This window comes from Homo sapiens, chromosome 11 (assembly GCF_000001405.40).
Source record: "Homo sapiens chromosome 11, GRCh38.p14 Primary Assembly".
NCBI classification, from domain to species: Eukaryota; Metazoa; Chordata; class Mammalia; order Primates; family Hominidae; genus Homo; species Homo sapiens.
In genome coordinates, this window is record NC_000011.10 from 10,809,145 (window position 1) to 10,834,477 (window position 25,333).

At 41.2% G+C, this 25,333-nt stretch overlaps 1 long non-coding RNA gene across 1 annotated transcript, besides 2 other annotated features; it reads left to right on the forward strand.

Annotated features, from left to right (window-relative positions):
* Window positions 135-184: an enhancer, noted in NCBI's record as "active region_4450". NCBI's record gives its function as "activates an Ori minimal core promoter by ATAC-STARR-seq in GM12878 lymphoblastoid cells {active_cell/tissue: GM12878}" and the evidence as "EXISTENCE:reporter gene assay evidence [ECO:0000049][PMID:35858748]".
* On the forward strand, window positions 153-13,787 carry LOC101928053 (uncharacterized). Its single transcript, NR_120540.1, has 3 exons — window positions 153-222; window positions 713-777; window positions 11,588-13,787. It is a non-coding gene; the product is annotated as an uncharacterized LOC101928053 (long non-coding RNA).
* Window positions 260-866: an enhancer, noted in NCBI's record as "NANOG-H3K27ac-H3K4me1 hESC enhancer chr11:10830951-10831557 (GRCh37/hg19 assembly coordinates)". NCBI's record gives its function as "activates a minimal SCP1, AML or CMV promoter by ChIP-STARR-seq in primed H9 embryonic stem cells {active_cell/tissue: H9 hESC(primed)}" and the evidence as "EXISTENCE:reporter gene assay evidence [ECO:0000049][PMID:30033119]".
* Window positions 13,788-25,333: the final 11,546 nt, after the last annotated feature.

The window sequence follows — 25,333 nt, forward strand, 5'->3', positions numbered from 1 at the left end:
AGTGGCGTAAGGGGCGCCGAGCGCTGTCGAGATGAGGGTTGCGTGCGTAAAGCCGGAGAGCCCTTTTGAGTCTGCGTTGGCGTGGCTGCTGCTTCTTGCTCCAGTCCCTTTGTTCACTGAGTCCATATGCCATGCTCCAGTTGTATCATCCCCTTTTCCCTCGACCTCGTTTTCTCACCGGGAATATGGGAAGAAAACGCACCCTTACCTCCCCCGAACCCTGTGCGTGGCGAGTGAGCATTGCTTTTCTTGGCGCCCCTTGGAGCTGTGGCTGCCCTCGCGTGCCTGGCCTCTCCCGGGGCTGAGCCCTTCGGGTTGAGGCCTGGAGCCCCCGGGCGCAGCGCCGGGACACTACCCGGCTCCAGGTCCTCGGCTTCGGCAGCCTTAGGGAACCCAGAAAGTAGTGGGGAGGAGGCGAGACGTGCGCCCGGATGCCAAAGGGGAGCTTCATTCAGCTCCTTATTGGCCCACCCCCTGCAGAGTGAATGAGAAAGTGATGAAAGGAAGGGGTTGATTTTCTTCGAACCGCACAGAAGAAGCTGCTTTTCCCATAGGAATGTCCGGCTGGCGGTCACCGAGGAAAACACCCTGTGTGTCAGACTTCCGCGGGTGTTTGGAGGATTTCGAATTGCTAGCTCCTGTTTTTTTTTGTTTTTTGTTTGTTTAAGTGCACGTTAAACATTGTCAGTTGTGTATTTTCATTTTATTTAAGGTTCACCATAAGAAATAGGATTAAGCTTTTCAAAGCCGGCAAGTTGAACTATTTATACTTACCAGGTAATGTATTGATGAGTACCTTATTCCATCGTTTGCGACATTGTAGCTATACTAAAATGGAGTCATACTTCCATAAACTTAAACAACAAAAATGTCCCCATCTCCATTTTAACATGTAGTACTTTTACAGTGTATAGTCAAAGGCAAGAATGTGTGTGTTTTAACATGAATGACTTTTAAAGTGTTCAGTAAGAGGCAGGATTTTCAAAGACCCAAACTTAACCTTTGATGTGTCAAAACAGCTCTTGGTATTAGAGCACCTGGTCCTTAATACAATTTTCCGGAAAATTGCAGTTTTTCCTACGACATTTAAATGTAATAGAAGGCTGTGGTGTGGCTCTGAAGGTTTTTAACACAATTCCAACATCTGTAGATCTTTGCTATAGAATAGTCACCATTCCCTACTTTACTGTTACTACACTTATTGCTATTACATCAATTTTACTTGAACTTTAAAACTTGGAAGAGATATTCTAAAAAAAAAAAAAAACTATTTTGGGGTGGTGGTGGTGGTGCAAGTTTTGTTTTAAATACAAGAGGTTTCACTTTGTATTTCTTTGGACCCTTCTAGCTTCATGATAACACGAGAATAATGTTTCTTTATAATTTCTGTAGGGCTTTAAGGTTTGGAAAAATGCATTAGTATATGTGATATTTTTACATAACTGGTTTACATTCCATTTATCTGATAATGAACGAATACATTAGTTTACTAAGAAGAGTAGTATTCAAAAACTATTGTCTAGACTTCAAAGAGAATATTCACCTAGCCGTAAAAGTCGGATGTTCTTATAATTAAGACACTTAAAATTCAGTAATTAAAAATTTAAAAAAGGTTTTACTTAATATTTTATTTAATCTTTGCTAATTGGGAACCCTTTTGGTATGGGCTTTGCAGATATGAGTTTATGTGAGAAATTGACCTGGAAGGGAATAACCTAAGGTAGAAAAAGTAAAAATATTGATAAAACAATCTTTCAATTACCTTTCTCTCACTTAAATAGAAAGATTTGAAGTTGAAATCGTACCTGCAAAGCCCATTGCAGAAGGGTTCACAATTAGCAAAGATTAAATAAAAACATTAAGTAAAACCTTTAGAAAAAAAAATTTTTTTTTGAGACAGAGTCTCACTTTGTCACTCAGGCTGGAGTGTAGTGGTGTGATCTCTGCACACTGCAGCCTCCACCTCCTGGGTTCAAGCAGTTCTCGTGCCTCAGCCTCCTGAGTAGCTGGGATTACAAGCATGTGCCACCACGCCCAGCTAATTTTTGTATTTCTACTTGAGATGGGGTTTCACCATGTTGCCCAGACTGGTCTCAAACTCCTGACCTCAAGTGATCCACCCGTCTGGGCCTCCCAAAATACTGGGATTACAGGTGTGAGCCACTGTGCCCAGTGTAAAAAATTTTTAATTATTGAATTTTAAGTGTCTTAATTATAAGAACATCTAGCTTTTAGGGCTAGATGAATATACTCTTTGAAGTCTAGACAATAGTTTTTTTTCAAATCGAAATATATTTAAGTGAGGGAAATAAACATTGAAACTTTCTAAATGTTTCCATCACGTCATGGATATATGAAAATTCAGCAGCACTTTTGGAGGCCAAGCTGGGAGGATTCTTTGAGCCCAGGAGTTGGAGACCAATCTGGGCAACATAGGGAGACCCCCCCATCTCTAAAATTAAAAATTAATCCAGATGTGGTGACATGCATCTGTAGTCCCAGCTACTTGGGAGGCTGACATGGGCGAATCCCTTAAGCCCAGGACTTTGAGGCTGCACTAAGCCATGGTCACGCCACTGCACTCCAGCCAGGGCAGTAGAGTGAGATCCTGTCTCAAAAAAAATAAAATGCTAGGCATGGTGGCTGATGCCTGCAATCCCAGCTCTTTTGGAGACTGAAGCAGGTGGGTAGCTTGAGCTCAGGAGTTTGAGACTAGCCTGGGCAACGTGGTGAAAACCTGTCTCTACAAAAAATACAAAAATTAGCCTGTGTCCCACATGCCTGTAGTACCAGCTACTTGGGAGGCTGAGGCAGTAGGATGGCTTGAGCCCTGGAGGTCGAGGCTGAAGTGAGCCATGATCATGTCACTGCACTCCAGCCTGGGTAACAGAGCGAAATCCTATCTTAAACACACACACACACACAGAGTCATTGTCTGGAATTTAGCTTTTAGTTCATTGAAAATTGAATTTTAAATATACCCACTTAAGTCTGCTAGTTTTCCACTGCTAGTTTTATCAGTTTTCTCTAAGTCCTGACTAACTTGTTAACTCATATATTTTTGCCTTATTTTAACTAATCATGTCAAGTGCTGGTTACTATTCTAACACATACTGTTTTGGAAGCATCTACCATCCTCTCTGTGCTTATGAATTCCCTAATCATTTACCTTCAGCCCAGATCTCTCACTTTACATCCAGTTCTGAATTTCCAACAGCCTTTTGCTCAGAGATGCAAACTTGAAGCCATAGTTTGAGCCACAGTAGTTTTAAACACTTGAATTTGATATTCACACAAATTTTTGCATACAAATCCAGATTTCCATCTTTTCATGAAAAATCTTAAAATATGGCAATACTGGGCCTGAAATTCTCATAGGGCAACATTCAAGCATAACTAAGTAGAACTACCTTCTCTCGATGTTTTGATTTCTCCACAGTTGCATCTGACTTGATTCACTCATTTATGTTCCCATCTGGCCTCTATAGCCATTTTGCTTTTTTGAGTTGTTTGCTCAAATTCAACAGATTCCATATGTAAACTGGTCATCTTCCTATGAGGAAAAGTAGTTAGACCAGTTGAGGTCAAATGTCTTCTCTACCATTTACTGTGTAACTTTGGGCAAATAATTTAATTACTCTTACTCAGTTTCTAAAACTGTAAAATCGGAATGATAGTAGTATTTATATGGTGGTTGTAAAGATTAAATGAGATAATGTATGTAAGGCACGTAGGTTAGACCCCGACTTAGAATTTAATGTTAGTTTCCATATTCTCAATAATATTGATTAACCAGCTGTTTCACAACTACTTTAATTTTGTTAAGGAGTCTATTATTCTTCTATGCTAGAAACTTGACCATATTTTTTTTCCTTTTGCTCAGATTTAACATTCAATCACTTACTGAATCCTGGTGCTCCTTCTCTCCAAATGTTTCTTGCATTCATCTTCCTCCCTACAACATCATTGCATGTATGCTAATCCAGCCCTTACTAAACTTTTCTCCTGGATTATTGCAAAATTCTAGTTGATCTTCTGTAGTCTTTCCCTACTAGTCTGTATATTCCTGTTAGTCTTTCTTAAAATACCTTTTTTCAGCCAGGCGCGGTGGCTCATGCCTGTAATCCCAGCACTTTGGGAGGCTGAGGCAGGCAGATTACAAGGTCAGGAGTTATAGACCACCCTGGCCAACATGGTGAAACCCTGTCTCTACTAAAAATACAAAAAATTGGCCAGACGTTGTGGTGCGCACCTGTAATCCTAGCTACTCGGGAGGCTGAGGCAGGAGAATCGCTTGAACCCAGGAGGTGGAGGTTGCAGTGAGTTGAAATCATGCCATTGTACTCCAGCCTGGGCGACAGAGCAAGACTCCGTCTTGGAAAAAACAAAAAAAACAAAAAAACTAAACTAAATTTTAACATATTATTACCATGCTTAAGAATCTTAGTGCTTCACTATTTTCTACATGAGTTGATCTCAACCTTGGCTGCACATTAGAATCACCTGGAGAACTTTTAAATATCTCAGTGTCCAGGCTGCACCTAAGACCAGATAAATCTGAATCTTTGGTAGTGAGATCTAGCCATCAGTAGCTTTTAAAGCTCTCTAGGTGATTCCAGTGTGCAGTCAAGGTTTCAGAGCCACTGTAGCAGGTCAGAGCATTATAGAAAATTACAACATTTATAGCTGAAGCAAATCCCAGGAAAAGGAAACTGGGGTTTAAAAAAGATAAGGGGAGTTTCTCCAAGTAGGGAAACAGTTATTAGAACCCAGGCATCCCAGTTTATATGCTTTTACCTGGCTTTCAAGCCCTTTATATTCTGTCCCTACCCTACCTTTTCTGTTGGCCTTATTTTTTGCCTCTCCCAAACACCCAGTCTTCTCTTATGCAGCCAGTTAGGCTGGTATTGCTGTCCCTAAAAATTCAGTTCTAATACTTCATTGCTTGCAATTTTGAGGGTACCCTCATTTATCCCCTCTACTGATTCATTCCTGAAGTACAAAATGAATATATAAGTGCCCTACTCAAAAACCTCAATAGCTCTCCTCTAACAATAATATCTGAACTTCTTAGTTTGGCATAAAAGGACCTTTATCATCTGGCTTCAGACTACTTTCCTATTCCTAGGTGTATCACTCCTTCATTCCTACAGTTATCCCTAATCTGGTTCTATGGTACTCAAATTTTGCTCCATTGTTAAGATATATTTTGGAGATAAAGCCATTAAAACTTCTGATGGATTGAATATGGAAAATGAGAGAAGAATCAAGAATGATTCATAGATTTTGGCCTTAAGCAACTGGCAGGTAGTAAACAATGGAGGAAAAACTATTCTGAATATATTAAACTTGAAATGCCTATTAGATATTCAAAGGGACATTTCAATAGGCAATTCAAAATAGATGATATGCATCTATAGCTTGCATGGGAGGAAGGGTGGATCAGAGATGGAGATATGACCAATACCAGTGTTCTGTATTACATGTGACTACAATTTGGAGGTCTTTGTTCACTTGGCAGAAAAAGAAATAAAGTTATTGAGTTTATATGCATAATACCTGTTTCCAAGGATCTCACAATCTAGACAAAAGATAAATACACCAATTATATAAAAGGCAGGGAAGGGTGGAATCAGTGCTAAACCAAAGATACCATAAGCTTTCATAAAGGGAATAATAGGGAGATGAGGCTGTGGCCATTCTTCCTTAAGTGCCAGAATGATGATTTGGGACTTGACTACACAGACAAAGTTCTTGAACTGATCAGAACTCTGATCAGTTTTAGTGTAAAGCTGATCAGTTTTAATTGATCCATGTACTGTTTTAGAAAAACTATCCTTACAGTTTGTGTAGAATGGATTGAACTGGGGTGTGGTGGTTCACGCCTGTAATCCCAACACTTTGGGAGGACGAGGTGTGTGGATTTCTTCAGCCCAGGAGTTCAAGACCAGCCTGGATAATATGGTGAAACCCCGTTTCTATAAAAAAATACAAAAATAAGTCAGGGTGTGGTGGTGCACCTGTGGTCCCAGCCACTCAGAAGGCTGAGATGGGAGGATCGCTTGAGCCCAGGAGGAGGAAGTTGCAGTGAGCTGTGATTACGCCACTACACTACAGTCTGGGCAACAGAGTTACACCCTGTCTCAAAAAAAAAAAAAAAAAAGAAAAGAAAAGGAGGGCAAACTTGGAGATAGGGAGATCATTAGTTAGAAGGCTAAATAATTTATTATTTTTATGGGCTTATTTTTATCTCCCTTCCAAAATCATAAGGTTCTTGATATCAAGTACTTCTCTTGTATTACCAATAGAATTATTTACATACACAAGAGCTGAGAAAATATTTGTGCATATTATCTTGCTGCCATTTTATTTATTTTTTCTCTAGAATTTCCTACTGCCTTTACCAATTCAGCTCAGTCTTTGCTGGGTTCTCCTACTCTGTTTGACCTATAAATATTGAAGTACCACCAAGGATTTATTCTGGGTCTTTTCTTCCCTCTGAATACTTTTCTCCGAGGTAATTCATCAATCCTATGACTTTAAATCCCATTTATATGATAAAAATTTCCAAATTCATGTCTCTATCTCTTATCTACCTTTCCCCCCATGCAAGCTATAGATGTATATCATCTGTATTGAATTGCCTACTGAAATTTCCCCCTGAATATCTAATAGGCATTTCAAGTTTAACATGTTCAGAATAGTTTTTCTCCATTGTTCACCACGGTCAGTTACTAAGGTCAAAAACCTATGAATCGTTTTTGATTCTTCTGTCCCTTCTATATTCAATCCATCAGAAGTTCTGTTGGCTCTATCTCCAAAATATATCTTAAACTGGTCCACTTCTCTTGATCTACATTTCTATCACTTTAATCTAACCACCATTCTCCCTAGCCTGGATTACTGCAATAGCCTCCTAGAATTCATCCCTCAACTTCATCTCTTGCTGTCCAATACATTCTCTACCCAGAACCAGTAATCTTTAAAAAATGTAAATCAGATAATGCCACTTCCATGCCTAAAACCCTCTAATCATGGATATACATAATATCCACAATAAAATCCAAACTCCTTAGCGTGGCCTATATGACCTTACATGATCTGGCCCTTGACTATCACTCTGACTTCAACTCCTACTATGTTCCCTTTGATCTCTATTCAGTCACACTGGCCCCTTTCTACAAATATGTTAAGCTCATGCAAAGCTTTCTATTCCTCAAGTATGCAAAAACTATGGCTATTTCTTTTTTTTAAGTTCCACTGCCCAAAAGCTCTTATCCCAATTTTTTACAGAATGGCTTTTTGTGTGTGTATAATTTAGATTTCAGCTTGAATGGCCACCTCTCTAGAAAAGCCTTCCCTGATCATCCCATGTAATGTTGTTTCCTCTTCTAGATACTCTATTACATTTCCCCTCTTAGTTTTTTTTTGTTTTTGTCTTTTCCATAGTCCTTCTTACTATCTGAAATGATTTTTTGCATTCATTCTTGTGTCTTGTCTGCTCACTGCATTAGGATGTTAAGCTGAATGGCAGCAGGAACTTTATCTGTCATGTTGTATTCCACAGATTTTTTAAAAAGATGACTGGCTTCTGGCAGGGCACAGTAGCTCATGCTTGTAATCCCAGCAGTTTGGGAGGCTGCGGCAGGTGGCTCACTTGAGACCAGGAGTTTGAGACCAGCTTGGCCAACATGGCAAAACCCCATCTATACTAAAAAATACAAAAATTAGCTGGGTGTGGTGGCACACACCTGTAATCCAAGCTACTTGGGAGGCTGAGGCATGAGAATTGCTTGAGTGCGGGAGGTGGAGGTTGCAGTGAGCCAAGGTTGCACAGCTGCACTCCAGTCTGGGCAATAGAGCAAAGCTGTGTCTCAAAAACAAAACAAAACAAAAACACACACAAAAAACTTCACATTAAAAAGATGACTAGATTCTGGATAGGGAATGTATTGGACAGCAAGAGATAAAGAGCTTAGAATAGTTCCTAGCATATACTAGGCATCATTAAATATTTATTGAATACAGGAATATACATTATCTCAATTGAGGCTCACTACAAACTATTTGGAGGAAGTAGAGATGTATTATTTCCCCCACTATATATATTGGGAAATGGAAAGTTTGGTGACTTTTCTAATGCAATTCGTTAATATGTGGCAGCATCTCATACTTTCCCAGGTACATCAAGCTCCCCCACCCCACAGCAACATGAATAGCCATAATGGGAATATTCCTTTCTTATCACTTTTGCATGAATAAGGTGCTTGCATTAGTTTCCTTTGGCTGCCATAACAAATTGCCACAAACTTGGTGGCTTAAAACAACCCAAATTAATTTTCTCACAGTTCTGGAGGTCAGAAGTCAAATCAAGGCATTGGCAAGGGTGCACTTTCTAGGGAGGCGCTAGGGGAGAATCCAACTCTTGCCTCTTCTAGCTTCTGGTGGCTGTTGGCATGCTTGGCTTGTGGCCACATCTCTCTGCTCTGTCTTCACATTGCCTTTCTGTGTGTGTGTGTGTTGTGTACATTCCTTGGCTGTGGCCACATCTCTGCTGTCTTCACATTGCCTTTCTCTGTGTGTGTCTGTGTGTGTGTTGTGCATCCCCAAAACCCCTCTGCCTCTCTAAGGATACATGTGATTGTACCCAGATAATCCAAGCTAAGCATCTCCTCTTAAGACCCTTAATTTAATTACATTATTTGCCATATAAAGTAGTATTCCCACATTACAGGGATTATGACATGGGCATATCTTTTCGGGGGTACTCATCAATTCAACCCACTACAGTGCTCATACTATTTTACTGCAGTACTAAATTCTCAGAACTCTATCTAATGGGCCAGTCTCTTTACTGTTTTACTGCAGAACTAAATTCTCAGAACTCTGTCTAATGGGCCAGTCTCTTTATATGGCTCATCATTCATTCATTCATTTAACAAATATTTAGTGAGCACCTAATACATGCTGTGCACTGCTAGAAATAGGGTATATATTGATAAACAATAGTAAGCACTTTATGTGTGGGGTGAAAGAGGGTGTTACTAATAATTACATTGGGATAGCTGACATAAACCAGGACTATACCAGGCAAACCAGGTCCTGTGACCACCTTACTTATGATGCATGTTGTTAGGCCAGGATAATGAACTAGACCAAGACCTTGCCTGCTAGTATTTCTCCCTTTGCCATTTTTCTTTTCTAAGTCAAACATAGTGTTTAGTTTTTAAAGTTTTTAAATGAATAGCCTGCATAGTAGCATGATTGAAGTGATTTTACTGGACTTCATCAATATGTAGATCAGTTTTACCTTTGGATATTGGACTTGTAACCTGGGAGTAGAAGGCCCATTCCAGAGCAAAATTTTCTATACTAGATAGGCTAGAGACACACTTGAGCCTTAAGCAGGGGAGGACAACTGGTGCTTTTAGTTCACTGTACAGTTGACTCTTGAACAACATGGGTTTGAACTGCATGAGTACACTAATAAGTGGATTTTCTTCCACATCTGCTACTCTTGAGACAGCTCCAATGAGGTCTTTGACAGCAAAACCAACCCCTCCTCTTCTTTCTCCACTGTAGCCTACTCAGTGTGATGACTACAAGGATAAAGATTTTTATGATGATCCACTTCCACTTAGCAAACAGTAAATACATTTCTCTTATGACTTTCTTGTTAACATTTTCTTAAATTTTTTTTTGGCTGGGAGCAGTGACTCACACCTATAATCCTAGCACTTTGGAAAGCCAAGGCAGGAAGATCACTTGAGCTCAGGAATTCAAGACTAGCCTGAGTAACATAGTGAGACCCTGTCTCTACGAAAAAAATAAAATAAAATAAAAATTAGCTGGGTGTAGTGGCGTGCATCTGTAGTCCCAGCTACTTGGGAGGCTGAGGTGGGAGGATCACTTGAGTCCAGGAGGTTGAGGCTGTGGTGAGCCATGTGGTGAGATCGTGCCACTGTACTCCAGCCTGGGTGACAGAGCGAGACCTTGTTTCAAAAAAAACAAAAATTTTTTTTTTACCTTTTTTTTAAGAGACGGACTCTTACTATTTTGCCCAGGCTGTTCTCGAACTCCTGGCCTAAAGCAATCCTCCCGCCTTAGCCTCCCAAAGTGTTGGGGTAACAGGTGTGAGCCATCACACTCGGCCCATTTCCTTTTTTCTTGCTTTATTGTTAAAAAATACAGCATATAATACATATAACATACAAAATATGTGTTAATAGATGGTTTATCAGTAAAGTCAACAGTAGGCTATTAGTAGTTAAGTGTTTGGGAAGCCAAAAGTTATACGTGGATTTTTGACTGTGCGGTGAGGGATGTGTTGATGACCCCTAACCTCCACATTGTTCAAGGGCCAACTATATTTCATAATTCATTTAATTTAGAAAAATTAAAGTTAGAGAATGGGTGATGTTCATCTGTAACACTCCTGAAAGGTGACCAAGATTACTGGCAGCAACTTAACTGAGATAAACAGGCTTCAAGTTATGTGCAATACCCAGTGTTCCTTGCTTGCTAAAGTAATAAAAGCATATATGAATGCAAGGTACTGAGAATATTATTATAGGGATAATATTGCATCCACTCTCATTGATTGATTGATTGATTGAGACGACGTCTTGCTTTGTCGCCCAGCCTGGAGTGGAGAGGCGCGATCTTGGCACACTGCAACCTCTGCCTCCCGGTTTCAAGCAATCCTCCTGTCTCAGCCTCCTGAGTAGCTGAGATTACAGACATACGCCACCACGCCCAGCTAATTGTTTTATATTTTTAGTACAGATGGGGTTTCATTATGTTGGCCAGGCTGATCTGGAACTCCTGGGCTCAAGTGATCTGCCCGCCTCAGCCTCCCAAAGAGCTGGGATTAAAGGTGTGAGCCACTGTGCCTGGCCACTTTAATTTATTAATAAAATCATTTGCAAATTTTGTTTATTCATAATTTTTATTAGTGACAATATTTATTTATAATATAACCCCATGGTGGCTCATCATACCTGTAATCCCAGCACTTTCAGAGGCTGAGGCGGCTGGATCACTTGAGGTCAGGAGTTTGAGACCAGCCTGGCCAACATGGTGAAACCCTGTCTCTACTAGAAATAAAAAATGTGTAGTCCAGCTACTCAGGAAGCTGAGGCACAAGAACTGCTTGAACCCAGGAGGTGGAGGTTTCAGTGAGCCGAGATCGCACCACTGCACTCCAGCCTGGGTAACAGAGCGAGACCCTGTCTCAAAATAATAATAATAATAATAATAATAATAATTTATAAACAAATGTAATCAAAATGCTAAAACAACACAGTTAAAGAATCACTGTTCTAGAAAATGCAAATTATTTACCTGGAATAGAGAAATGTAAGTGCAATAAACCAAGTTTTTCATCTTGTTTCAAGGGGCAGAAAGCACATGTCCAGAGCACAGGTTTAATTCATTAACAATTGTTTATAGAATGATCAAGTTTACATTTTAAAGGATGCTTCCATATGCAGGGGAAATATCTTTATTTCCATTTTATGACTGAGGTTTGGAGAAACTAACTTACCTCTATCTTTTTCTTTCCCTTTTTTTTTTTTTTTTTTTTTAGAGACAAGGCCTTGCTCTGTTACACAGGCTGGAGTGCAGTGGTGTGATCATAGCTCACTACAACCTTGAACTCCTGGGCTCAAAGAATCCTCCGGCCTCAGCCTCCCAAGTAGCTAGGACTACAGGCACATATTACCATGCCTGACTACTTTTAAAACTTTTTTTTTCCTAAGAGATAGGGTCTAGCTATGTTGCCCAGGTTAGTCTTGAACTCCTCACCTCAGCCTCCCAAAGTGCTGGGATTACAGGTGTAATCCCACCACACCCAGCCCCATATCTGTTTTTTAAACTTTTTTTCCAGTGATCTTTCCTTGACTTTATACTTTCTCTCTTAATAGAGCACAGAGTGAGCAGAAGTAAACAAAATAGACACTAGAAAAACACAGAAAAGATCAATGAAACTAAGTGGTGGCTTTTATAAAAGCTAAAAAAATCAATAAACCTTTAACTAGACTAGCAGAGAAAAAGAGAAGACGTGAATAAAATCAGAAATGAGAAAGGAGACATTACAATTGATACAACAGAAATAGAAAAGATCATGAGGCTACTCTGAACAATTATAACCAACAAATTGGATTAACTAGAAGAAATGGATAATTTCCTTGACACATAAAACCTACCAAAATTGAATTATGGAGAGAAAGAAAATCTGAATTGACCAATAACAGGTAGGAGACTGAATCAGTAGTAAAAAGTCTCTCATCAAAGAAAAGCCCAGGACCACATGGTTGCACTGGTGAATGCTACCAAACATTTAGAGAATATTCCTTGTTTGAATATTTTTGATTAGTGATTCAAACTGCTTACTCATTATTGGTCTATTCAGATTTTCTATTTTTCATGGTTCAGTCTTCCTAGGTTGTATGTGTCTAGGAACTTAACCATTTCTTCTAGGTTATCCAGTTTGCTGGCATGTAATTGTTCATAGTAGTCTCTTAAGATCCTTTGTGTTTCTGTGGTACCCATTGTAATGTCTCCTCTTTCATTTATAGTTATTTGAGTCTCCTGTCTTTCTTAGCCTAGATAATGCTTTGTCAATTTTCGTTTTTTAAAAAAAATTTAGTTCACTGATCTTTTCTTTTGTTTTTCTAGTCTCTATTTCACTTGTGCTCTAATCTGTATTATTTCCTTACCTCTGCAAACTTAGTTTGTTCTTGTTTATCTAGTTCCTTCAGATGGAAAGTTATTTATTTAAGATCTTTCTTTTTCTTAATTAGGTATTTATTGCTGTCACTTTCCCTCTTGAACTCCTTTTGCTGCATCTCATAAATGTGTGTGTGTGTGTGTGTGTGTGTGTGTGTGTGTGTGTGTGTGTGTGATAGATCTCACTCTTTTGCCCAGGCTTGAGTGCAGTGGTGTGATCTTGGCTCACTGCAACCTCCGCCTCCCAGGTTCAAGCAATTCTCCCACCTCAGCCTCCCAAGTAGCTGGGACTACAGGTGCCTGCCATCACGCCCGGCTACTTTTTGTATTTTTAGTAGAGATGGGGGTTTCACCATGTTGGCCAGGCTAGTCTTGAACTCCTGACCTCGAGTGATGTGCCAGCCTTGGCCTCCCAAAATGCTGAGATTACAGGCATGAGCCACTGCACCTAGCCACATCCCATAAATTTCGGTATGTTGTGTTTCCATTTTCATTTGTCTTAAGATATTTCTGATTTCTTCTTTGACCCATTGGTTGTTCAGGAGTGTTAATTCCACATACTTGCAAATTTTCCAAGTTTTCTCCTGTTAATTATTTCCAGTTTCATACCAGTGTGTGAAACCTTTCCTTGATGTAGTAATAGATATAAATACACACATATGTATAGGTTTCCATCTATGATTCCTGGCTCATAACTCCCAGAGTCCTTGTTACAGTCTTTTGTTACAATGTTGGTATGTTAGGCCTCTCTGACTTTCTCCAGTGTTCCTTTCACCTGCCCCAAGGCAGGTCTGTAATCTGATTGTGGGTCATAAGACCACCATTCCAGAGAGGGTCCCATCCCATACCCTGGGGGAAGGAATGCTAACGTCACGAAGCTTCTATAAAAAGCCAGGATGACTGGATTTAGAGAGCTTCTGGATAGCTGAACACATGCAAGTTCCTGGAGGGCAGCTCGCCCAGGGAGGGCATGGGAGTTCTGTGCCCCTTCCCCCATACCTCACCCTGAGCATCTCTTCATCTGTATCCTTTGTAATAAAATAAATTGGTAAACATGTTTCCCTGAGTTCTGTGAGTCACTATAGCCAATTAATTGAACCCCAAGAGGGATTGTGGGAACCCCAACTTGAAGCCAGTTGTCAGAAGTTCCAGAGGCCCCAGACCTGTGACTGGTGTCTAGCAGTGTTGGGAGAGGGAAAGAGGACAATCTTTGGGGGGCTGAGCCCTTACCCTGTGGGATCAGACACTATTTCCAGGTAGATAGTGTTGGAATTGAATTGGAAGACATCCAGTCAGTGTTTGTTGCCAAACTGATTGCTTGCTTGTTGCTAGGGAGAAATCCCCACATAGTTTGGGGTCACAGAAGTCTTCTGTGCTGATTGATGGTTCTTGTGCTGGCATGAGAGCAGAGAAAAATCAGTTTGAGGGTTTTTCCAAAACACTTGGCTATAAAAACACACTGTTCTGGTTGACAGTTACATTTTATTGTGACTGATTAGATAAAAGGTGGAGAAAAAGAGAACATTTGTGAACCAACAAGGAACTCAAAACAGAAAGCAAAAATACTACGGTAAAACAATGTCACCCAATGCTGTCTCGGAGACTAATCTTGGCCCTAGAGCACTGCACATCTCCATTATCACATTTCTACAGTGGAGCCTAGGGCCTCTAACTACTTCCCTCCCTTAGAAGAGAAAGTGCCTGTCAGAATATACAAATATACAAATATCCCTCCATTTTGGGGGGAGAATGGTAAACCAAACAAAGAACTGTCTTTTATTTTTAGTTAATTCACTGTATCTTTTTAAATTCTTTTTTCTGTCTCAAGCATCATTTTTACTAGAACTTCATGTTTTTTTAGATAGTGTTCTTATTCTTTTCTGGACAGAACATTTTAAAAGTCTGTGTCTCCTTTTTGCATTCTTTCACCGTGATCACAAGTCAGATATAAAATCCAGCTGGATCTGGCTAACAACTGTTGAGAAACGGACTTAAATGAAGACATTTCAATGGTAAATTCGGTGATGTCTTTCTGGTTACAGCTCACCTTTCTACATTTATGTGTAGCCCAAAGGCAAACACATATATACTGACAAACCACCAAAACAAAACCAGAGTAGGGGCAGGGGGCAGGGGCTCACGCCTGTACTCAAAGGGATACCAAGATTGGAGGAAGGCTTGAGCCCAGGAATTTGAGGCCAGCCTGGGTAACATAGCAAGACTCCGTCTTTACCTATATATACACATGTATTTCATATAAAAGCCGGATGGGGGTGGAACAGAGTCATCATTTCAAGGTCTGAAGTTATGATTTCTGAGAACTTGGAGAACTGAGAATTTAGGAAAAAGATAAGGTATGCAGGAAAATAGGAAAAGATATAATTTTGACAATCTGATAAGGGAGACAAAGATGATCATGATTGATGTTTACAGCATGTGCTTCTGATCTTTTGAAGAAGAGAGAATATAAGATAATATTAGAAGTCAAAGGGCAAATGTTCTTTCTTGCATTCAAGAGTCAATAGAGGCAACAGTAAAGAACTACTTTTTTTAAGAGATGGGGTCTGGCGATATTGCCCAGCCTGGTCTTGAACTCCAGGGCTCAAGCAATCCCCTCACTTCAACATCCCAAAGTGCTGGGATTACAGACGTGAGCCACCTCATCTGGCCTATAAATGATTATTTAAATAAAAAGCTACTCCTTTGCCATCATTACTATCTATAAACCAAATGTTGCTCATTGAAGTTAGCATTAGTTTTTGCTTCATCTCTATGTTCTTCCCAGCATAGTGTGTGATACATTATGGTCATTCAATAAACATTTGTTAAATTATTAGGGTGGTAGAAGTGACGTGGGTCTCTCTCCAACAAGATCATGGGTGAACTCATAATCAATAAACACTAAGTGCTTACCATCTTTTATACTTTTCTAAGTGTTTTACATGTATACACCACCACAGGAGATGGTTGATATTACTATTCTCTCTTTACAGACAAGGAAGCTGAGGCACAGAGAAATGAGTACATGACAGAGTTGGGATTTGAGACTAGGCAGTATGGGTTATAGAGCCTATATGCTATACTAGCACTCATACGATCTCAAGTCAATCAGAAAAATGCCCCAGGATAACTCCACAATACATTAAACCAGAGCTAGATATCTGCCCGACCCAAGAACCAAAAACAGGAAGTGTCACACTAGGCTGGAGAGTCACTATACACGTATAAATTGGCAGTGGGCTAATAGTAAGCCAGGAATCAGGTAGGGCCTCTGCTAGCCTGTAGACTGGGGCAAACTCACTCACCAATACCCAAAGCTTGTTTAGTGGATATGGTACAGTAGATTTCAGAAGATCTTAAACCCTTCACTGGGTGCCTTTATGCTATGCAAAAATTGCAGAGAGTGTAAGCAAGAGCGAGACCAAGAAGAGAAGGAGGAAGAGAAAGATTAAAAGCCAAGGACAAAAATAGGCATGGGAGGGAGATGGGGGTGAGGAACAGATGGATCCAGAAGGCCAAGTTCAGAAATTGATAAATCAATTGTGGTCACACCATGCTTCAATCAAGAGAATTTTAAAACTTCCCCCTAACTCCACCCATCAAATCCTGCTCCTAAAAAGCCTGTTCCTTTTGATCAAAGGAATAATATAAATACTGACAAGTAACAATAAACGTGGCCTATTATTTTTATTTTTCATTTATCATTTTTTTTAGAGACAGCATCTTTCTCTGTTGCTCAGGTTGGAGTGCAATGGCATGTTCATAGTTCACTATACCTTCAAACTCTCAGGCTCAAGGGATCCTCCTTCCTCAGCCTTCTGAGTAGCCAGGGCCACAGGTACACGCCACCACACCCAAACTGAGAATATGCCTTAAAAAAAACAAAAAAAAAAACCAAAAAAAACAAGAAAAACACCTCTCTGTTACGGTCTGAAAGCTTGTGTCTCCCCTAAATTCATACGTTGAAATTCTAACCCCCAAGCTGACTGTATTAAGAAATGGGGGCCCTTAGTGGGAGGTAATTAAATCCTGAGGACAGAACCCTCATCAATGGGATTAATTATCTCATGAAAGAGGCCCGAGGTGCTTGTTTGCTCCTTCTGCCATGTGAGGGTACATCAAGAAGGCACAATTTATGTATCAGAACAAGGGCCCTCATCAGACACTGAATCTGTTGGTGTTTTTTTTTTTTTTTCTTTGAGATGGAGTCTCACTCTGTAGCCCAGGCTGGAGTGCAGTGGCATGATCTTGGCTCACTGCAACCTCTACCTCCCAGGTTCAAGCGATTCTCCTGCTTCAGTCTCCTGAGCAGCTGGCATTACAGGCGCCCACCACCATGCCCAGCTAATTTGTTTTGTATTTTTTGTAGAGATGGGGTTTCACCATGTTGGCCAGGCTGGTCTCAACTCTTGACCTCAAGTGATCCACCCACCTCAGCTTCCCAAAGTGCTGGGATATAGGTGTGAGCCACACGCCCAGCCTGTTGGTGTTTTTATTTTGGATTTTCCAGCCTCCAAAACTGCCAAAACTAAATTACTGCAGCTTAAAAGCTACCTGTTTTATGGTATTTTGTTATAGCAGCCTGCACAGACTAATGCACTTTCAAACCAATCCTTTATAACAGAGACTAGACTAGCAGGTGGAGTGATATATTGATATATGAAATTTAGCTTGACTTTAATTAAAAATTTTTAATTTGGCATAATAATCTCTCCAAGGGAGATTATTAGGAAGAAATGGTACTGATTAGACAAAAGTAGTACACAATTTTTTCCTCACTGACTAAAGATGCTTGCCATTTTCACTGGTCCCACTACTACAGATAGATGCACAGAAAGATAAACTGCTAATAGGCACAAGGAGAAGAGTAAGAACAACAGTTCATCCAAAAAAAAAAAAAAAAAAAAAAAAAAAGGCCCATCATCCCATTCCTGTGCAATTTCTCCCAGGACTTACATACCTGAGACCTCAGGGAAGAAAGGGGACAAGGGAAGAGCACACTAGGTGAGTGGCAGCATCGAGCAGGATGTGGAACAGACATCATGAGCCTGGGCATTAATCAGTATGTGTCAGAACAGAAAGCTATACTGAAAAAAATAAATTTTATTAAATAAATCTGTATTTTTGAAATTTGAATTTTCTTTTTTGTAGTTTGTTTAACTTCCTTTTGGAATCCATAATGTTTTAATAAAACTCACTTTGAAAAAAATCTCAAATACACTAACAAGGGAAATACATTTTGTTATTTACAAATATGGGCCAGGGAGAAATGTGAGACAGTGTAACTTGGGGCCAGGCACAGAGTTATTCATTTATTCAATAAATATTTACTGAATGCCTACTATGTGCCAGGCATTATGCTAAGATGCTGGGGATATACCTAGTAATGAAGAAGGAAGAAATTGTCTCTGCCTACATGTAACTAAAAGTCCTTGGGAGAAGAAAGATAGTGAAAAATAAATCCAAATGCGATGTGTTATGAAAGAGGAAGTATAAAGTGCCATGAGTATGAGTGGAAAGAGCAGTTAAAGGTGAGCAGAGGAGCAGCTCTCAGTGGAAAGAAATCAAAAGCTAAGATAAAAACCAGTAACACTCTGGATGGGTGGGAATAGATTGAAATCCATAAAGCCAAAGAGATTTGAATTACTTGACTTCAAATAGGTTGAATATTTCAGTAAGGTAAGGACTCTATTCTTTTTCTTTCTCGGCCTTTGTCCAGAGAGTGGGAAAAGTTTGAAAGATTTGGTCTGAATCCAGGTTTTAAAAATTATTTTTATGGATTGATTAATATTGTTATGCACAACAGGACTACAGAATGTAGGAGATGGGGTAACTGTCCCCAAAAGAGGTCATAGCCTTGTTGGAGAGACAACATATAAACATAGAAAAAAATAAAAGAGGTCTCTTAGGAGACTATAAATGATTAAAGCCTTAATGAAGGCAGAGGAAGAAGTTTCTATGGGCACAAATAATAAGTAATGATGTCTTGCTAGAGATGTCCTATTTTAGAACTTATTGGTGAATTATGACATTCTAAGATAGGCCTAAGTGTACAAGACTTAGGTCTAAAATTAGGCATTAGAAACTGCCTCCCTGTTTGGCCTGGCTGATGGCAGAGGAAGGTTCAGAAATACAGGGGAGATTCAGTAGCCAAAGATGGGTTCATCTATAGCTATGATGAGATAAACAGTTTACACCAAGATTATACATTCTGGTGTCTAGAAGGGGGATCTTCGTGTATTCATCCATTCTCACACTGCTATAAAGATACTACCTGAGACTAAGTAATTTATAAAGAAAAGAGGTTAATTGACTCACAGTTCTACATGGCTGGCGAGTCTTCAGGAGACTTACAATCATGGTGGAAGGTGAAGAAAAAACAAGGACCTTCTTCACATGGCAATAAGAGAGAGAAGGGTGAGCAGGGGAAATGCCAGATGCTTATAGAACCATCAGATCTTGTGAGAACTCATTCACTATCACAAGAACAGCATCGGGGGAACGACCCCTATGATCCACTCACCTCCCACCAGGTCCCTCCCTTGACACATGGGGATTATGGGGATTACAATTCAAGATGAGATTTGGGTGGGAACACAAAGCCTCCATATCATTCCGCCCCTGGCCCCTCCCAAGTCTTTTTCTCTCATTTCAAAACATAATCATGCCTTCCCAACAGTACCTCAAAGTCTTAACTCATTCCAGCATTAAACCAAAAGTCCAAGTTCAAAGTCCCATCTGAGACAAGGCATGCCACTTCTGTCTAGTAGCCTATAAAATCAAAAGCAAGTTAATTACTTCCAAGATACTATGGGGGTATAGGCATTGGATAAATACTCCCATTCCAAATGGAAGAAATTGGCCAAAACAAAGGGGATACAGGCCCCACGCAAGTCTGAAATCCAGCAGGGCAGTCATTAAATCTTTAAGCTCCAAAAGGATCTCCTGTGACTCCATGTCTCATATCCAGGTCATGCTGATGAAAAAGGTGGGCTCCCATGGCCTTGGGCAGCCCTGCCCCTGTGGCTTTGCAGGGTATAGCCCCCGCCCTGGCTGCTTTCATGGCTGGCATTGAGTATCTGCGGCTTTTCCAGGCTAATGGTGCAACCTGTTTGGAGGATGGTGGCCCTCTTCTCATAGCTCCAATTAGGCAGTGCCCCAGTGGGGACTCTGCATGAGAAATCCAACTTCACATTTCCCTTCCACACTGCACTAGCAGAGGTTCTCTGTGAGAGCTCTGCCCCTGCAGAAGACTTCTGCCTGGACACCTGGGCATTTCCATGTATCCTCTGAAATCTAGGCAGAGGTGCCCAAACCTCACTTCTTGTTTTTCTGTGCACCCGCAGGCCCAACACCACATGGAAGCTGCCAAGACTTGGGGCTTGCATCCTCTGAAGCCATGACCCAAGCTGTACCTTGGACCCTTTCAGCCACAGCTAGGATGAAGGGTGCCAAGTCCCAAGGCTACAAACAGAGCAGCAGCGGGGCCTGGCCCACAAAACCATTTTTTCCTACTAGGCCTCCAGGTCTGTGATGGGAGGGGCTGCCATGAAGGTCTCTGACATGCCCTGGAGACATTTGCCCCATCGTCCTGGCTATTAACGTTTGGCTGCTGGTTACTCATGCAAATTTCTGCAGCTGGCTTAAATTCCTCCCCATAAATGGTTTTTTCTTGTCTACTACATGGTCAGCTGCAAATTTTCCACATTTTTACACTCTGTTGTCCCCCCCCTTTTTTTTTTTTGAGATGGAGTCTCACTCTGTCACCCAAGCTAGAGTGCAGTGGCGTGATCTCAGCTCACTGCAACCTCCGCCTCCCAGGTTCAAGTGATTCTTGCACCTCAGCCTCCAGAGTAGTAGCTGGGATTACAGGCACCCACCACCATGCCTGGCTAATTTTTGTATTTTTCATAGAGACAAGGTTTTGCCATGTAGGCCAGGCTGGTCTCCAACCCCTGACCTCAAGTGACCCACCTGCAATTGGCCTCCCAAAGGGCTGGGATTACAGGCATGAGCCACTGCGCCTGACCCCCTTTTAAAAATAAGTTCCAATTTCAAATTATCTCTTTGTGAATGTATAAGACTGAACACTTTCAAAATCAACCAGGTCACCTCTTGAATGCTTTGCTACTTAGAAATTTCTTCTGCCAGATGCCTTAAATCATCTCTCTCAAGTTCAAAGTTTCACAGATCTCTAGGGCAGTGGCAAAATGCCAGCAGTCTCTTTGCTAAAGCATAGCAAGAGTGACCCTTTGCTCCAGTTCCCAAGAAGTTCCTCATCTCCATTTGAGACCACCTCAGCCTGGACTACATTGTCCACATCATTATCAGCATTTTGGTCAAAACCATTCAACAAGTCTCTAGGAAGGTTCAAACTTTCCCACATCTTCCTGTCTTCTTCTGAGCCCTCCAAACTGTTCCAACATCTGCCTGTCACCCAGTCCCAAAGTCGCTTCCAAATTTTCAAGTATCTTTATAGCAGTGCCCCAAACTCTTGGTGCCAATTTACTGTATTAGTCCATTCTCTCACACTGCTATTAAGAATATTACCCGGACGGGCACGGGGGCTCACACCTGTAATCCCAGCACTTTGGGAGGCCGAGGTGGGTGGATCACAAGGTCAGGAGATCGAGACCATCCTGGCTAACACGATGAAACCCCGTCTCTACTAAAAATACAAAAATTAGCTGGGCGTGGCAGCTTGCGCCTATAGTCCCAGCTGCTGGGGAGGCTGAGGCAGGAGAATGGCGTGAACCTGTGAGGCGGAGGTTGCAGTGAGCTGAGATTGTGCCACTGCACTCCAGCCCGGGAGACAGAGCCAGACTCCGTCTCAAAAAAAAAAAAAAAAAAAAAAAAAGGATATTACCCAAGACTGGGTAATTTATAAAGGAAAAAGTTTAATTGACTCACAGTTCCACATGGCTGGGGAGGCCTCAGGATTTACAATCACAGCGGAAGGTGAAGAGAAAACAAGGACCTTCTTCGCATGGCAGCAGGAGAGAGAAGAGTGAGCAGGGGAAAGGCCAGATGTTTACAAAACCATCAGATCTCTTGAGAACTTCCTCACTATCACAAGAACAGCATGGGGAAAATTGCCCTCATGATCCAATCACCTCCCATTGGGTTCCTCCCTTGACATGTGGGGATTATGGAGATTACAGTTCAAGATGAGATTTAGGTGGGAACACAAAGCCTAACCATATCACTTGGATTCCAGAATGTTGGGATGAAAACTTCCCTTTCAGCAGAAGGCATATAGGAATGACTTGTCCTTGAGACAATGATCAAGACAAGAAAGCTATTCTGGGCCAGTGGAACAGGAAAGATACACATTTAGTCTCATGCAAGGGAAGATAAGAAAATCTCAAATAAGCTTCTATCAGGGATCTGAGGTGCAACTGTGTCAATATATAGGACATAGTGTATCAACATGTATAGGAGATGAGCCAGATAAGCTGGAGTAGGTAGAAACAGGAGACGTGAAGCTTCACCTCCTTTGGCTTTCAGCTTATTAGTATTATGCAGCTGGACTAGATAAACTCTTATGTTCTTTACAATTCCAAAATTATATTTATGAGGTGGAGGAAGACATTTTAATAATCGCATAAAGTGTCTACTATGTGCCAGGTACTTTCATACACTATCTCACATTATCCTCACAACTTTGTGAGGTTAATTATTACTATCCTAATAGTATAGCTAAGGTTTAGAGGCATTAATAACTTACTCATGATTATATAGCTAGCAAGTAGATAAGCCAAAATTCAAACACAAATTTGTCTGATACCCAAATCCTTAATCTTTCCAATCACCATGGTATTTTCTAAGATGTGATAAGAAATGATGTGGAGGAAATTTCAGTTTCAGCCAGGGGTTGAGTGAAGGCAACGAGTTGCATCTGGCAGAAAAAGGGAATCATGCAAGGATGAGTCTTTACTTACATACATAAAGGTTCTTAGTAAGTATTAATACAAATTCATAAAATAGTATTGTGTTGGCCGGGCGCGGTGGCTCACGCCTGTAATCCCAGCACTTTGGGAGGCCGAGGCGGGCGGATCACAAGGTCAGGAGATCGAGACCATCCTGGCTAACACGGTGAAACCCCGTCTCTACTAAAACTACAAAAAATTAGCCAGGCATGGTGGCAGGCGCCTGTGGTCCCAGCTACTCGGGAGGCTGAGGCAGGAGAATAGCGTGAACCCAGGAGGCAGAGCTTGCAGTGAGCCAAGATCATGCCACTGCACTCCAGCCTGGGTGACAGAGCAAGATTCTGTCTCAAAAAAAAAAAAAAAAATAGTATTTTGTTTGTGGCATTGCATTTGAGGGAGGCACTGGTAAATGCTGGGTATTCTAAATATGAATAAAATTTTATCTCTGTTTTAAAAGAACTCTCAATCTGATAGAATCAATTCTACTAACCAATTCTATAGTACAATATTTGATCTGAACAAAATGTTTTGAGAGCTATGGACTGATGCTCAATCCATTTCTAATCTGCAAAAGCTGGAAAGCTAACAAGTGACATTTACCAGAATCCCTTTCAGTGAGCATTCCTGCCATGATTTGGTTCAGTACATCTTGTGAGAAATGAATTCAGAACCGAGTCATGTCAGGAGAGAGGAAAGATGCATGGACTCTAATTTGCCATGTGGATTGGCAGAGGTGATTTGTATGATTCTGGAGCAAGTAGTTTCCTATAATAGCAGCAGCAGAAGAGGTAATAAGTTGTGTGGTGAGCAAAAATGGCAGCAGATTCCTACAGCAATGGTGGCATGAGCTATTCTTTTCTCTCTCTTTCTTTCAAGACAGGGTCTCACTCTGTGGCTCAGGCTGGAGTGCAGTAGCACAATCACAGTGCACTGTAACTTCAACCACCCAGGCTCAAGTGGTCCTTACCCCTCAGCCACTGGAGTAGCTGGGACAACAGGTGTGCCCCAACACTCCTGGCTTTTTTTTTTTTTTTAGAGATGGGATTTCACTATGTTGCCCAGGCTGGTCTCAAACTCCTGGGCCCAAGCGGTCCTCCTGCCTCAGCCTCCCAAAGTTTTGGGATTACAGGTATAAGCCACCGTGCTAGTCCAGTGGGAGCTTTTCTAATCATGGTAGAAAGAGTTGTGAGTGGTGGAAGTTGTGAGTAGTTGTAAGTGGTGGAAGGTGTTCCAAGGAGTTGGACCTACAGCTTTGCTCCTCTAGTCCTTTCAGTAGTTTTGTACACATTCAATTCCTTGCTTTAAATCCCTTTATGCTTAAACTTGACCAGATTCTCTGTTATGCAACTGAACACGGATTGATGCAGAAATAAGAAAAGTTGTAAGCAATAAACTTTCCACTTGTATCTGAAGGCAGTGAGGAGCTTGTTACTATTAGAGAAAACTTGGCTGGGTATGGTGGCTCACACCTGTAATCCCAGCACTTTGGGAGGCCAAGGCAGATGGATTGTATGAGGTCAGGAGTTTAAGACCAGCCTGGCCAACATGGCAAAACCCCATCTCTACTAAAAATACAAAAATTAGCTGGGCATGGTGGCATGCGCCTGTAATCCCAGCTGAGGCAGGAGAATAGCTTGAAACCGGGATATGGAGGTTGCAGTGAGCCGGGATTGCACCATTGCACTCCGGCCTGGGCGACAAGAGCGAAACTCCATCTCAAAATAAATAAATAAATAAATATATATTTTTTAAAGAAAGGATCATCTCTGGTCATCTGGAATGAAGTGTCTATTAAAGTCAAGGCTTTGGGGCTGGGTGAAGTGGTTCATATCTGTAGTCCAGGGCTTTGGGAAGCTGAGGTGGGAGAAGTGCTTGAGGCCAGACGTTTGAGACCATCTTGGGCAACATAGTGAGACCCCCATCTGCATGAAAAAATAATAATAGGCCTGGTGTGGTGGCTCATGCCTGTAATCCCAGCACTTTGGGAGGCCGAGACAGGTGGACTGCTTGAAACCAGGAGTTCAAGACCAGCCTGGCCAACATGGTGAAACCCCGTCTCTACTGAAAATACAAAAATTAGCTGGGCATGGTGGCATGCACCTGTAATCCCAGCTACTTGGGAAGCTAAGGCAAGAGAATTGCTTGAACCCAGGAGGCGGAGGCTGCAGTGAGCTGAGATTGTGCCACTGTATTCCAGTCTGGGCAACAGAGCAAGACTCTGTCTCAAAACAATAATAATAAAATTAGCCAGGTGTGGTGGCATGTGCCTGTAGTCTTAGCTACTTAGGAGGCTGAGGTAAGAGAATCGCTTAAGCACAGGAGATGGAGGCTGCAGTGAGCTATGACCACACCAGTGCTCTCCAGCCTGGGTGACAGAGCAAGACTGTATCTGAAAAAAAAAAAGAAAAAAAAATTTTTTTTTAATTTGAAAAGGAAAAGGCAAGGTTTTGGTGGACCAGCTGGCTGCTGGGAGGGACTATTATGGAAGGTACAAGGAATATAAGGGCAGGGGTTGTGCTGGTTGCTTCTAACTATGCTAGAAACGTTAAAGAAAATTATAGGCCCAAGATTTCAAATTTTTAACTCAGCACTTCAGAAAACCAGGGATTTTCCATGATTGCCCTAAAAAATCCCGTAAAGCCACAAGTCTAACACATCAAAAATTAGAAGCAGAA